This window comes from Homo sapiens, chromosome 15, assembly GCF_000001405.40.
Source record: "Homo sapiens chromosome 15, GRCh38.p14 Primary Assembly".
Lineage (NCBI taxonomy): Eukaryota > Metazoa > Chordata > Mammalia > Primates > Hominidae > Homo > Homo sapiens.
Window position 1 is genome coordinate 43916184 of NC_000015.10, and position 15036 is coordinate 43931219.

At 46.2% G+C, this 15036-nt stretch overlaps 1 protein-coding gene across 12 annotated transcripts in view, besides 2 other annotated features; it reads right to left on the bottom strand.

Moving 5' to 3' along the window:
* FRMD5 (FERM domain containing 5) overlaps window positions 1-15036 on the bottom strand; it is a 328710-nt gene that overhangs the window by 45420 nt on the left and 268254 nt on the right. For 8 of the 12 annotated variants that reach the window (XR_931927.4, XM_047433194.1, NM_001322949.2 and 5 more), the window contains 3 exons: window positions 8022-8126; window positions 3584-3626; window positions 3276-3354 (listed from right to left, as the gene is read on the bottom strand). Coding sequence is in view for 8 of the 12 variants with exons in the window: in NM_001322949.2 (NP_001309878.1) it covers window positions 3276-3354; window positions 3584-3626; window positions 8022-8126 (227 nt within the window). In the remaining 4 variants the exon portion in view is untranslated. Of the gene's footprint in view, window positions 1-1541; window positions 1647-2665; window positions 3098-3275; window positions 3355-3583; window positions 3627-8021; window positions 8127-15036 lie in introns of those variants that run through there. The other 4 variants (NM_001286491.2, NR_104455.2, NM_001322951.2 and 1 more) reach the window with 4 other exon arrangements.
* Window positions 11732-12383: an enhancer, noted in NCBI's record as "OCT4-NANOG-H3K27ac hESC enhancer chr15:44220113-44220764 (GRCh37/hg19 assembly coordinates)". NCBI's record gives its function as "activates a minimal SCP1, AML or CMV promoter by ChIP-STARR-seq in primed H9 embryonic stem cells {active_cell/tissue: H9 hESC(primed)}" and the evidence as "EXISTENCE:reporter gene assay evidence [ECO:0000049][PMID:30033119]".
* Window positions 12384-13033: an enhancer, noted in NCBI's record as "OCT4-NANOG-H3K27ac hESC enhancer chr15:44220765-44221414 (GRCh37/hg19 assembly coordinates)". NCBI's record gives its function as "activates a minimal SCP1, AML or CMV promoter by ChIP-STARR-seq in primed H9 embryonic stem cells {active_cell/tissue: H9 hESC(primed)}" and the evidence as "EXISTENCE:reporter gene assay evidence [ECO:0000049][PMID:30033119]".

Sequence of the window (15036 nt, forward strand, 5' to 3'; positions counted from 1 at the left end):
TTGCCAGTGTCCTTGAAGTCTGCTGACTTGGTGAGAGGCCTGGCCATGGTCCTAATGCTGTGCTTACCAGGACTTGGATGACTACCTGGGATAGCTTTCTCTCTCAGGAAACAGAAGTTAGCTGCTTAAGTTTTAGGATTCTAGCTGGTGGGGAAAGGGGACAGAGGAGGAGTGGAGATTATTAGAAAAGAAGTACCTTTCACATAAACAAGGAAGAAAAGCCAGTACTAACTGTACTTGTGCATGATGCAGAGCCCCTGGGGCCTACGGACTGTGTAATGAATCTGGCAACGAAATATTGAGACTTTGCTCAGTGCAAGGCTCACTGTGGGTGTATTAAGAAGTGTAAGAGGCCGGGATAGTGGTTAATCTTCCCGACAATTCTATGAGGTAGATATCACTATCCCCATTTTATAAATGAGTAATCTAAGGTTAGAGAGGTTAAGTATCTTATTTCCAAGTTAAGTATCTTATTTGGCTGTATACAGCCAACAAGTAACATAAGTAAGATCTGAGCTCCCAGGTCTATGCTGCTTCTTGGGTAGGAAGGTCTGTCCATTCATGTAAGATAGTGACACTGGATTTACAAAATTGTATTTTTTTTTTTTTTTTGAGACAGAGTTTCACCCTTGTTGCCCAGGCTGGAGTGCAATGGCGTGATCTTGGCTCACTGCAACCTCTGCCTCCTGGGTTCAAGCGATTCTCCTGTCTCAGCCTCCCGAGAAGCAGGGATTAAAGGTGTGCACCACCACACCCGGCTAATATTTTGTCTTTTTAGTAGAGACGGGGTTTCACCATGTTGGTCAGGCTGGTCTCAAACTCCTGACCTCAGATGATCCACCCACCTCACCCTCCCAAAGTGCTGGGATGACAGGCGTGAGCCACCACGCCTGGCGGAAAATTGTATTATTAAGAGCTCTTCCTAAGGGCCAAGATAACCATACATTTCCAGTCCTTTAATCAAATTGGAAAGCCATGTGTCTGTGGTGCTCTCACTGGCTGCTCCCTCTCATCCCCACTGTTGGTCCAGTGAGGTGGACAACAAAGACGTGTTAGGTTTGCTCCGATATGTAGACAGGAGTACCAACTTTGGGGTCTGCCCTGGCACCAGTACCTCTTTTAGCAGAGACAGACAGAAGTTCAGAGCTAAGGCAAACACTCTGGAGATCATGAGTGGGGCAGGCTAGTGGTATTTTAACAAAACTCTTGAAAAAAATTTTTTTTTGAGACAGAGTCTCACTGTGTCACTCAGGCTGGAGTGTAATGCCGCAATCTTGGCTTACTGCAACCTCCACCTCACGGGTTCAAGTGATTCTCCTGCCTCAGCCTCCCGAGTAGCTGGGATTACAGGCGTGATGGCCCGGCTAATTTTTGTATTTTTAGTAGAGATGGGGCTTCACCAAGTTGGCGAGACTGGTCTCGAACTCCTGACTTCAGGTGATCCGCCCGCCTCAGCCTCCCAAAGTTCTGGGATTACAGGCGTGAGCCACCACACCTGGCCTGAAATTTTAAACATAGTGGTTCTACCCTTACTCACCTACCTAAAGCCTTAGGGTGTCTATGATTTGGATGGATTTGGTTTTCTGAAGCAAAGCAAGAGCCACCTCCACTTCCACATAGATGAGCAGAGCCTGGGGCTTCTATGCCTAGTAAGAGACATGAGATTTGGTTCTAGCTACACTCTTCACTGTCTTCAGTGCTTCAAAGTAGGTGGGTACACGCTGCCCTATGCATCTGCAGGAAACAAGCCTTCCTGAAGAGGATCTCCCTCAACTCCCATGTGAAGGGCCCATGCCGAAGAAGCCACTTTTCTCCCCTGTCCCACTTCCTTGTTGCCTTTGTACTGATAATGCCTGCTTCTTGGCCCCCTCCTCTCCCCATTTCCTGATTTCCTCTCTTAGAGAAATTTTTGCTCCTTTCACCTGGCATGCTCTTTAGATCAGGAAATGAAAATAATTCTGGCCGGGCACGGTGGCTCATGCCTGTAATCCCAGCACTTTGGGAGGCTGAGGCAGGCGGGTCACGAGCTCAGGAGTTCGAGACCAGCCTGGTTAACATGGTGAAACCCCGTCTCTACTAAAAATACAAAAATTAGCCAGCCGTGGTGGCAGGCGCCCGTAATCCCAGTTAGTCAGGAGGCTGAGGCAGGAGAATCGCTTGAAACCAGAAGGTGGAGGTTGCAGTGAGCTGAGATCGCGCCACTGCACTCCAGCCTGGGCAACAAGAGCGAAACTCTGTCTCAAAAAAGAAAAGAATTCCATATTCTTTCCTCCTTCTTCCCTCCTCCTTTTCTGTCTTTGGAATTTTCCCAAGCAGTTAAGGATCTAGGAGTGGATCTCAAAGCCTTACAGGATAACCCGTCTATATGGCTGGCAATATCCTCATTCCCACCTTTGCTGTCTCCACGGTCTTAGGGAAGGGGTTAGAGCTGACAGTCCTATCTCTTCCTCAGCTCTAGGATTCCCTGGCATCACATCCTTACCTATGGTCCTGCCTTCTACAAAGTAACATCAAGGTTTTGCTTATGTCAAAATTAGGTCTTTCTAATATAAAAATTAGGGATCCATGTTGTAGAGTTCTTGAATCTCTGAGGTGAGACTTTCACAGTAAATTTCGCTCAGATACACAAAATCCTGGGGAAGCTTTGAAGCTCTCACTCACTGACCCTCTTTTAGGATGGCTGTGGGCACAGAGGTTCTTTTCATCCTCAAGTGGCGCTGGATGAGACAGGATGCATTCCACGCAGCTGTCGGCCTGCCACAGAACATGATCCCCACAATAGTTTATCACGAACCTGATCCAACAGCACCACAGAGTTTATCCATTTTGATTTTAAATCTTCAGTATCTCCCAGCTTATCTTTCAGTGTTATGCCTTTGGCATTTTCCAAGTATATCCATTAGACCACTTGAATCTATTTGCAACCTCCGAAATAAGCAGCAACATAGCTCTCTCCAAAAATGTCCACAGTGGCAACATCATAGGTAAAAGAAAAGACGCTTCTGATTAGTTACTCCAGAGCCCTTTGAGAGTGACCAGTTCAAGAGGTAGTATTCACACTTCTTGAAGGAAAGAAGTCCACTCTGTTGCGACTGCACTGAGGGGTACGCGAAGAAAGCATGTGGAAATGAAATACAGAAGTCATTATATTTAGGAAGAGTTCCTTGCCTCTAAGAGTTAGGCGCTTCCAAATGAGAGGCTCTAAGAGGTCACCATCCCCCTTTCCTATGCTCTCCAACAGGTCCTAATGGCTGCGGGAAGCATGTTCACCTCACCTGGTTATTTCTTCTTTCAGAGCAGCAGGGTCTGCAGGATAAAACTTCACACGGAAGCACATGGTGAATGGAGGCTGGGCTGCAGAGAAAAAGAGGTGCTCATCAGGGAAGACTCTCACCCAGAAGAGGACAGGGCTCTTCTGCCCACTAGCATGAAGCAGCAGAAGAGAACCCTCATATATTTAGGGCCAACTTATACTCAGAACAGTGGGAAATTATATATGTAGATCAAAACTTGAGATAAGTGGGAGGTTTCGTCCCACCCTCCCCAGGGGTGTGGCTTGAGTCTTTTCATGGAGAATACTTACATCTCAATTGTTTCACCACAGACTTTGTAAATTCCAGCCAATGCTGAAACAGAGAACACAGAACATGAAAACCCTAATGAGAAGGGCTGTAAAATATAACTTGTTTTCTCCAACTTAAAAAACTAGACAGATTGTAGCCTAGGGTGAAAGCAGCCCAAAAGCTTATGAAAGATAAGTTTGGTGAGTAAAGAGTGATATGATTTTCTGAAATGAGCTCCCATGGAGCCAGCTGTGAAGGGGGGAATAGTTCCAGCTTCAGATGCCATTTATGGGCTTCCCTGGAAATGCTGTCTTCTAAAGCAGGGTGCCAAAATTCTGAGCCATGTTTTTGGCATGCGATTAAGGCACAAGCGACTGCATGTATGTGTGGCGGGGACAGAGCCCCACCTGGGTTGAGTCGGGAAATACTGACTTTAATGGGTGGTGTGTGTTTCTGTTATGCACCAGCTTTTTTTTTCTTCTTTTTTTGGCAGGGGAGTGGGAATAGAAGATTTTGGTAGCAACTCTAGAAAGTAGTGAGAAGTGGAAATTTCCTAAGTCAGGGATGGCTGGTATATATTCCATCTTTCTTTGAGTAACATAAATTGCCAACCCTTGTGTTAGAAAACACATACTCAGGATTCCTTGGCATCCAGTGATGTTTTAAAATCTAAATCTCAAATGATAACTAACCACAACCAACGTGTAGGATAGTACCTTCTTCCCCTTGGATTTTTCAAGGAGGCAGGACATAGAGGCAGAATACATTTTCCCATGGTACTTAACGTCTGGGGGAAGCAATGAAACCATTCTATATGTGTTCCTTAATTCTACATGGGTCCTTTATAAATTTTATTATTGATGTTTGTTGCTTTTTGCTAATCAAGATTAGGTAGGACTGCTATTAATTGGAGTTTGATTATCCAGAGGTAGCTTAACATTGCCAGATGTAAGCTCCATGAAGGCCCAGAACTGTCAGTCTCGTTTACCACTGTATCACCAGTGCCTAGCACAGTGTTCAATAGGTAGCTGCTGAATGGCAAAGGGACTGGGCCCATACTTCCTTCTTTTCTGGCTACTTCAATTTAGTGTAATGTCTTGGCAGAGTCCTCCCTCTGGCAGGAGAGCAGCCAGGGCGCTGCAGTCAGCATCCTGGCCTCCCTTGATTCCCAGTGATCACCTTCTGGGCTGGGCCATGGGTCATGCAGTTAATGGACCCACTAAGAGCCAGTTCTTCTGTCAGCTCCACATGGATAATCTGGACTGACATTCTGCTCTCCTGCTTCTGCTGATCTGAGTTCCCACGAGGCTGGCAACTCATTATAGCCACTCAATGTGGTTAAGAGGCCCTTCTCACATTACACGGCCCACCGCGGCTCAGCTTCACAGGGAGGCAAAGGCAAGAGATGAAATTGCTCAGAAACAACTGGGGTTCCAGGGTATGCCTGTGAAGACGGAGGAGGCCTATCTGTTCAGAGCACACTGGAATTGTGGACAGTGAGGAGAACATAGCCAGTGCCAGGGATTCAGTACACAGAACAGCAACACCCCCAGACATTAGACTGATAGATTAAAAGAAATAAACAAAGGAAGGTAGAAATTAATGACTGTGAGATGCATTATCAGCAGAGGGCAGATAAAGCTGAATGACAAAAGCCTATTCCCCTTGACAATAGCTAGAAAGAAGATTTTAGTTTTATTGTAGTGAGAGCTCAAGAAAGGACTGAGGCTGGAGGATAGTAGCAAGGGGTGAGAAGGGACTGAAGAGCTGTCACAGCTGATCCATGGGATTTGGAGTCTGGCAGAGAAATCTTGAGAGGAACCCAAGAATATGGTGATGGCCAGAGTGGCTTTTTGCAAATGCCTGACCAAATCGGTCCCAGATTCACTAGCAAACAGACAACATGGGCTTAGGGAGGAGGGATTAAAAGAAGAGGAAAAGAAGATTCAGAGAGGAGGGTTTCCTCCCCTATCTGAGTGAATGGGCCAATGTGGCACAATCTTCAGACTCTAGGGGCTTGAAAGGGTACAAAGCAGAGGCCAAGAGAAGGTGGAGGCCCTGGGCCCGAGTCAGGCATCCTGGGGAAGGAAAGTAAGGGCAGCTCCTCCAGGAGAGACCAGGAGAGCTTGCAGATGCATGGAGGCTCCTGCAGAGCAAGGACTGACATCGGATGGATGTAAGTGCTGGGTTCAGACTGTCTTGAGACCCAGGGAAAGAGGTTTATTTTAGGCCCTTACACCCTGAGGGAGCAGGGGAGCTCAGCTCCTCCATCCCTACCATGAATCAGTGGACTAAGGACAACTCTCTACAGGTCCCCATTTCCCTACAACCCTCAGTTACTGTCTCAAGCCTCTCTGCTCTCCTTAACCCCTCCCGCAAGGCACAGAATTACACAACTTTCAGAGGCTATCAGTTATACATTCAGCATGGAATCTCAGAAACCACACTGGCCCTGGAGTCAAACAGGTCTGAGCTCGAGGCTGGCTTTGCCACTGACCTGGGGCAAGTTACTTAACTTGTCTGAGACTTTATTTACTCATCTGGATAACAGATATTATCATTAGGGATACTCATCTCATTTTGTTAAGGATGAGATGGAATAACATACGTGAAGCTCTTAGCTTAGTGCCTGGCACGACTCAGTGAGCAGTATACATCAGCTGGAAGAATTAGGTTTGTGTGCAGCGCAGAGCCTGGCAAGCAGTAGGAACTCCATAAATGTTTACTTCTCCTCTTTCCCATGTTCTTATCTCTCTCTAGTTCCTTCTCATTTTAACCTTCACCACATCCACATATTCTCTTACTCTCCTCAAGCACATTCTGACCTAACTAAAAAACCAATGAACAGGATACAATTCGCCTTTTTTTCTTCATATACCACCACTCTAGGGGATGAAGAGATCTTGGAGTAACTGGCCCTCCTTTTTTTTTTTTTTTTTTAAAGACAAGAGTCTTGCTCTGTCTCCCAGGCTGGAGTGCAGTGGTGTGATCTTGGCTCACTGCAACCTCCACCTCCCGGGTTCGAGTGATTCTCATGTCTCAGCCTCCCAAGTAGCTGGGACTACAGGCACATGCCACCATTTCCGCGAATTTTTGTATTTTTAGTGGAGACGGGGTTTTGCCATGTTGCCCAGGCTGGTCATGAACTCCTGGGCTGAAACAATCCGCCTGCCTTAGCCTCCCAAAGTGCTGGGATTACAGGCATGAGCCAGTGCACACAGCCAGCCTTCCTTTTTAAGGATAAAAGTTTGGACCAAACAAAGAAACACCATCATTACCTCTCTACTTTGGTGGGGATGCCAGAGAGTACATCTCCACAAAGAGCAAAGGGTAGATGAAGGGAAGTTATAGAAACTGCAGGTGTCTGCAAGCTGGGAGGCTGGGCAAATGGACGTAAGAAATACAACACTATAAGCCATTAACTCACTCATGCATTCATTTCTTCAGAAAATATTTATTGAACACCAACTACATTGTAGGCCTGTGCTAGTTAAATGGGAGATAGTGATGAATGAGACAAAGTCCAGGCCCTCATGGAACTTACATTTTTGCAGGGAACACAGGTAATCACAGAATGATGTAATAAGTGCTATAACAGGGTAGCAGAGGGCACATGGGGGCCCATAGGAGGATCCCTAATACAGAGTGGGGTTAGGGGAGATTTCCCAGAGGAAGTAAAAGTCTAAGCTGAGACCTTAAGTGTGAAAAGGAGTTAGCTGGAAGAAGGGTGTGGAGTGTGGAGCGGTAAGGAAAAGGAGAAGATTCTAGGCAGGGGAACTCTATAGGTGAAGGCTCTGTAAAGAAAGAAGGTATGATGTATCTGGAGGGCAAAAGTATTACTGTCTGGCGGGACCACAGCAGGTTGGGGAGATGAAGCTGGAGAAATAGGCAGGGGCCTGAGATGATGGACTTGTTCCTGAATCTGTCTGGAATATCAGCACCCTTGGCTATCAGAATGCCCTGTGTCTGCAGAGCTGCCTATGCTGTGTAGAGCAGAGCAAGAACTGCAAGATCTGCAAGGTGCTGAAAGGCCCGCGCTGGTTTGGCTCTGTCTGTACTGCCTAGATTGGGTTGGTATGGCACCTTTGGTGAGGCCTTTCCTAACCAGTACAATGTGCTTCAGCCTGCTTACTAGAAAGTGGGCAGGAGAGGCTCACCCTGTGACTTGGGCTCCGAGACCACAACTCCAGCCCAGCTGCTCTGCCTCCAACTTTGTGCAAATCATTTAAGCTCCCTAGCCTGCCATTTCAGCAACTGTAAAATGACAAGCTTCTCCAGGTGAGCTCTAGCCAAGGTGCCTTCCAGGTCTAATGCTATGATCTGAAGAGACGACATCCAACTGCAGGGTCTGGTTGGTCCCTGATTCCTGAAGCTTGACTTTGAATATGAATGACAGTTCAAGACCTCAGTCTTATTGACTAGCCCTGTCCTCCTTTTGTGCTTTGAATATTGACTTACCCGCTGCTTATCTGGGTCTACAAAGCGGATACCAAAATAGTCTTTCTCAAGTAGGTTCAGATGGTGGCAAAGAAGGTCAAACAGGTACTGGCCTTTGGCATCTCTCTGCAAAGAAAGAAAACTCCATTGAGAAATGAGTGGGTTTCTTCAGTGTAACTTTTTTTTTTTTTATAGCCATTAAAAGTTGTTTGTAACTGTTGCATGTGTCTATGAAAGGGGTGAATGTCCATAACTATGTCCTCCACATTGTGATACATCACTCACTGTCTGGAATCCAGAGGCTTTTAGCACCTGGAAGGAGCCCAAGAACCCTTCCCACCACAAAGATGTCAGAGAAGTCAGGGTAGAGTCAGGTAAGCCCAGTTCCCATCTCAAATGCACAGAGAGCTTTCTTAAACTGTGGGTGTAGGGAATGTCAGTGTGGAATACAGCAATAATTACACCAGGCCCAGCTGACTGAGCCTCTAAAGTAAATCTTGAATCCATTCACTTCTCTTCCTCTCTGTTACCAACACCATAGGTCAAGCCACCACCATCCCTCAACAGGACCACTGCCAGAGCCTTCTAACTGATCTTCTGCCTTTGCTCTTGCCCTTTCAGTCCATTCTCCGCACAGCAATGAGGGTGTCCACAATTTAGACATCATCTCTTTCTTGCTGAATAAGTGATCAGGCACATTGTAGGATATTTAAACAAACAAAAGGATATACTATGAACAGTAAGTCTCCCTTCCACCCTGGCCACCCTGTGCCCCAGTTCCTCTCCCTAGAAGCAACTGTTATCAGCTTCTTGTATATCCTTTTTTTTTTTTTTTTTTTGAGATGGAGTCTCGTTCTGTCTCCCAGGCTGGAGTGCAATAGCGCAGTCTTGGCTCACTGCAACCTCCACCACCTGGGTTCACACGATTCTCCTGTCTCAGCCTCCCAAGTAGCTGGGATTACAGGCATGTGCCACCACGTCCAGCTAATTTTTGTATTTTTAGTAGACACGGGGTTTCACCATGTTGGTCAGGCTGGTCTCTAACTTCTGACCTTAGGTGATCTGCCTGCCTCGGCCTCCCAAAGTGCTAGGATTAAAGGTGTGAGCCACCATGCCCAGCCCTCTTGTATATCCTTTATGTGATGTTTTATACACAGGCAAACCTACATACATATACATCTCCTCTTTTAAAAATACATTTTGTAACATATTTTTAAGCTCTTTTCTCCCACTTAGGGTATCCTGCAAATCCTTCTATGGCAATATATATAGATATGCCTCACAGTTTTTAACTGCTGCATGTCACTGCAATGAATCTAAAATTATTTACCCAGTTCCATATTGATGACATTTGTTTCTAATTTGCTATTACAAACAATGTGGCAGTGAACATACAATGATCTTTATGTTACTCACTTCTCTTAATTCTTGTTGCTCTCAGAATAAAATGAAAACTCTGATCATGGCGTCCCAGGCCCTATACAGCCTGGCTTCTCTCTGCACTCACCCAAAATCATTTTCCTCACTACACTTCAGCCATGGCCTTTCCGTTCTGAACTCCCCAAGGCTTTTCTGCCACTGTCTTTGCATTCCCTCTGCCGGGAATGTTCTTCCTGCAGCTCTCTGCAGCCACTCCTATTTTTTGAGGACTCAGCTCAAATGTCCCCTCTTCAGAGAGGCCTTTCCCTATAGTACAGCCCTTCCCAGTTACTTTCCATCTCATTTTGCCATTTATGTCCTTCATAGCACTTATACCAATCTGTAATTATCTTGTTGATTTGTTTAGTTATCTATTTACTATCTGCTTCCTTTCTAGACTGTAATTTTCATGAGGTCAGAATCCTTCCCCCAGAACTTAGCACAGGGCCTGATGCATGGCAGGCAGGTCCTCAATAATTATTTGTTGAATAAATTACTGAATGAATAGAAGGGAAAAGGTTTGCTAAAAGATTTCACAAAATGGTGAAAAGCTAGGCCGTTTATAACCCATAACCTTCTACTTCAGAGACCTGCCTGGATGCCAAGGGTGAAGTGGGAGGAGAATGACTTGCAGGAACCTGTCAAAACATCTGGAGCCTGCACAGCATCCATCGCTGGCCTGTCCCCAGTGGTCTCTGCAGCTCAGTTCAGATGATCATCTCTGGCGGGTCTATGTCTAATTTTGCATACAAATTGAGGTTGTATGAGGAATTTCTGTAGTGTAGTGGTTATCACGTTTGTCTCAGAAATTGAGGTTGTAAGATAAGATCCAAAGATCTCTCCTGTGCCAAGGCCCAAGGCCATGGGTAATTACAGAAGGGCCTGGCCCTGCCCCAAGAATGAGCATATTTTAAAGACCTTCACAAAAGGTTTACACCTCACCTCTTCCCCTTCTGCTAACTCACCACATACTATCCAAGGAGAACTAGGGCAGGATGCTGATCTCGCGGCAGTTATGTTAAGAAGTTTGTCCTTGCAGGAGCTGGAAGAATAGGTGAGTAGACAGCTCAACTACAGAAGGAGGCAACATGTGGGCAACACCCCTCCTCTTCTGAGACAGGAATAATACAGGGTGGTCACAGGAGAATAAAAATTCCAGACAGCAGTTTCACATGACTAGAGGCTATGGGCTGATAAGACCCTGAAAAACAGGGCATAGACCAAGCTAGCTAAGACCCACTGAACCCAATGTGTGGCTGGATTTGACCTAGGTTTCTCCTAGGACCTCACTATAAACTCGTTAACATACTAGATCACACACCTACCAGCGCCAGGACTGTTCCAAGACCACCCATATTTGCTGTAAAAATAGGTGCCACTGCAGTTATGAGAAATCTCTACCTTTTCCCAAGAATTTTCTTGAATATTCCACCCCTTGGTTAAAGAAACCCATAAAGACAGAAACCCCAAACCCCACTGAATGACTCTCTCAAGTATGCCTACGCTCCCTTTTCTTGAATGTGTACTTTGCCCTTTGCAATAAATCTCAATAAATCTCTGTTCTTTTACTATTTTCTGACTCTTCCTTGAATTTCTTGAAAGAATTCTTATCTTCTCAATGGTGTCAAGAGCCTGGACACCAGGTGGGGTGGAGGTCTCACTGGCGTTTGGGGACCTCCCCCAGCCCACTGGTATCACTTCTGCTAGCCTCATACTCCCTCTCACAACATAAGCCTGAACTCGCAGGCCCTATTCCTCCTGTCTTTGGTCCCCTACAGGAAAGAGTGACTCTCAGGACAGAGACTCGTTATGAATCACACTGGGACTTCTGGGTGGTGGGCCACAAACCAGGTCTTTCAAAGGACTCCGTCAGAACTTTCTTTGTGCAGGGCCTATTAACTACTTCTTCACTGATGCCAAGAGAGTGAGAAGAGCTTAAAGAGGTATTTCAGGTTCTCTGGGAGCAGAGGAAACATGTTCCACTCTATCCCATGCAGCATATCCTATACTATTATCTCTCTCAGAGCAACTGAAATGGAACAGTGAGAGACAGTAGCATATTTTCATTGCTTTTCTCTACAAATTTTACTTTGCACCAAGCTGGCTTTTACATTGTGATCAGCTGGTGCTTTTTTTTTTTTAATGAAAAAATGTTTTTCACAAACACTACTACAGTATGATGTGAGTTTTACGGGCTGAAGAAGTTTGCTTCCATACATACAACAACCAGATTAGCAATGGGACAGAGATAGCTATAGGGAAAACATGCTTCTGTGATGGAAATCATACAGACTTTTAATAAGAATCCTGCCTTTCATAAAACAACTCATTCTCATGGGCTGCGAGTTCAGATGCACTTGTAAGGCTCTTAGCTGGTAAGAACCCTGAACTTGGTAGATCCAACTTCAGATTTCTTCCACTTCACAGGAAGAAAAAGGAAGCATGGCTTTTCTCTTGGAGTAGTTAGGAAATAAGGATATATCCCACTACCCATTCCCTACAGCTACATAAAAAAGACCTTTTTCTGGTTACTTTTCAGCACCTGGTGAATCCCCCTGCTCCCCCGCCGTGAAGACATAGTTCCCTCAAGTTCCCATTTACCAGTTACCAGTGTTAGATGCATTGTTTTGAGCTGCAGGGCTCTTGCATAGACTAATGAAGAGAAGCATCTTCCTTTGCTCTTTCTCCAAGGCTGGGGTGGGGGTGAGGGGAATGAGGAAAGAGGTAGACATAGAATTCCATGAAATTTAAATCCCCAGTAGGTATGCAAAGGTAGAATCAACTTAGAGCTCTGCGCAGAGGCACCTTTCACAGAGGGTTGCGACAAAGCCCTTCCTTTGAGGCACTCACACCTGTGGCTGGTGGAGTGGCCTGAGGCAGCACTGGGTGAAATCACATGCAGCTGAACCATCATGATGGGCTCCCTACAAGCCAACGGCAGGGGCAAGATTTTAGGAATTTTACAACTTCCTGGGCTTGTGGATCCCCTTGCACTTCCTGATGCCAGCTGCGTCCTGGGATACCCTCTCCATGGTCTCCCAGTCCTAAGTCCAGGGGTTTCTGGAATATTCTGTGACAGTCAGTCTTTTCTTTTGATGAGATGGCAAAGCCGTCTTCCCTTCCCTTTGCCTGCAGGTGCCCTGGCACTGTGGCTAAACTGTGCGTTGAATGTTGTGCCATTGATTATACCGGAGAAACAGGCACTTGCGCTGACAGGTGATTACTGTTTAGTCACAAAGTCAGAGCTCCAAGCCTGAGGACATTTATCTTCAGGACAAGTGAGCTGAGGCAGAGCACCCAAATCCTCACCCTGCAGCTACTTCTGAGGTTATTCTCTTCCCAAAGACATTATTGGATCAAAATAACTTATTAAGCACTCGTTTAAAAAATAAATTTATATTTTATGAACCACAACAGTGCCTATACATATTTGAAAATACTAGTGCATATAGGTACAACCCATTTATTCTCTCTATATGGTGCACAGAATGATTCATGAGCCTCTTGGAATCACTGTGCAGCTCTGAGGGTGGGATAATTCCTATTTTTGCTCCTCCCTGGAACGCCTGGTTCTGGTTCTCTATGGTTTGCCTATTCTTTAGGGAAGGGACTGAGGTAGCAAGCAGTAAGCAAGCTTGGGCCAGTGACCTAAACTATTTAAGGTTAATTGCATTTTCTGTCTCATCATCGATATCCATGGGCAGGAGAGGAGCTTTATTTTAACCCATCATGGATGAGGTTAATCCCAGGCTCTCTGGCATGCAGCATCCTGATGAGAGAAGCCAAGATGCAGAAAGCTCCACTCATTAGGCTCCACTTTATTCAATCCTGCTTACTTGTGAGGCACACAAGCACCTCACAAGCAAGTGCAAACGAAGTAGAGTCTAGCAGAGGGTAAGAGTGATTCCAACTTCCTCCTGGCTACATGCTATGACCTTGGTTCACAATCTGTTAAAGGGTAGCTGGCCTTGGTTTCACGGGCCCTTAGAGAAGGCAGAGGTAAAATGGAGGGATTACAGAAAGTGGGCACCCGTAGCCCAAAGTACAAGAGTCCAGAGGTGGAAGAAAGCCACACTGATACTAGGCACCCTGGAGGAAGGGCAACAGTTGAACGAGTTGTCCTTGGAGGCCTGCCGGGGAAGAAACAGGCACCAGGGATGGGATGGCATCTTAGCCTGCATTCTAGCTTAACTATATATATTTAAATTTCTTGTAGGCCAAAGACTTCCTTGCTTTCCTTCCATGCCTTTTAGTGGTGTGAGGGCATGAGTGGCATGCCGATGTCTGCCAGGTTCCAGAGCAGATGCTGTGTAAAAGCACTTTAATGTTACAGAGGAACAGCCACAGTAGGTCATCTTCTCAGGGCCATGGCATTAGTGAGCTGAGCAGAAAAGTGTGAATTAATTTCTGGGGTGCAGTCCCTGCCTCTATGGTCACATGCTACACCCAGCCCAGCTTTCTGAGGCAGAGGGAGGGTGTGGGGCACAAGTGCTAACAGCAGAACCTCAGATTCCCTAACTTCAGCACCTTCTTTACACTTTCTTTGAAGGGAGGGAACCCCTGCTGAGCTCTTGGCCCAGGAGCTCACTTTTCCTGCTTAGTCGTAAACCAATGAAATCTGTCCAGGAACTGCTGAGGCTGCAGCTAGAAGAGCAGCCAGCTCACTCTGGGAGAAGATTAAGAAAGCTCATTCCAGGGGGAAATGCAGAGACGTCCATCTGCAAGCAATACTCTCTTGAGTAGCAGGTCACCACAAATGTGGCAGGGCCATAGCTCACCCCTACCCAGGTACTCCCTTCTGTTTCCTACTCTCAGAACTCAGCCATCAGGCTGGGAAGAACAGGGCCCAAGCAGGCTCTGGTATCTAGACTACAATGCCAGGAGGCTGCTGTGGGGCCACGTAACCATGTGGCTCCTGGAGGAGTGGTGAGGCCCCAAAGTGGAGGGAAATCAGAGCTCAGAAGGAGAAAGGATCAGTGCTTCTTAGCCACTGTTCTCACCAAATCCTTAAATACAGCAACTTCTTTGCCCCAACAACTCCCTTCTACATGCAAATTGAGAGCTGGGGTGATTTTCATGAAGCCACACAGATATCTCTAGGTTCAGATGCCAGGTGCAGTGCTGCAGGGAGCCCTGTTGGCAGTCCTCACTTGGGTCAGAGAACTGGCTTTGCTCATCGCCACATGGTGTGACACGCAGGATGTGCACGTGGGGTGGGGAAATCACATTCAGTCTGGAACATGGAGGTCACCGTGCGCAAGGAAATGTCATGGGAGGGAGGACTAAGTGTTCTGTCAGCACAGATGGCCCAAAGCAGACTCAACAAGGGCAATTAAGACCCTCTGAGCAGAACTTCAAACCTGCTGTTGTACAGCTTGTAAGAGCAAGGCTAACAAGAGGGCCAGTCTTATTGAGATATCAGTGGTGATGCTTCAAGAGACAAGGTGTCTCATTTCTATATGAAATCTTTGTACCCTGTGAAGTGTCTGGAAAGAAAAAGAAAAACAGAGCCAGGTCTGAAGAAAAGCAGACAACTCGTTCATCTTTCTTATCTTTGGAGAAGCCACTTTTACAAGTAAGGTGACTCTTAAAAGCATCACTGCATCTTGCTATTGAT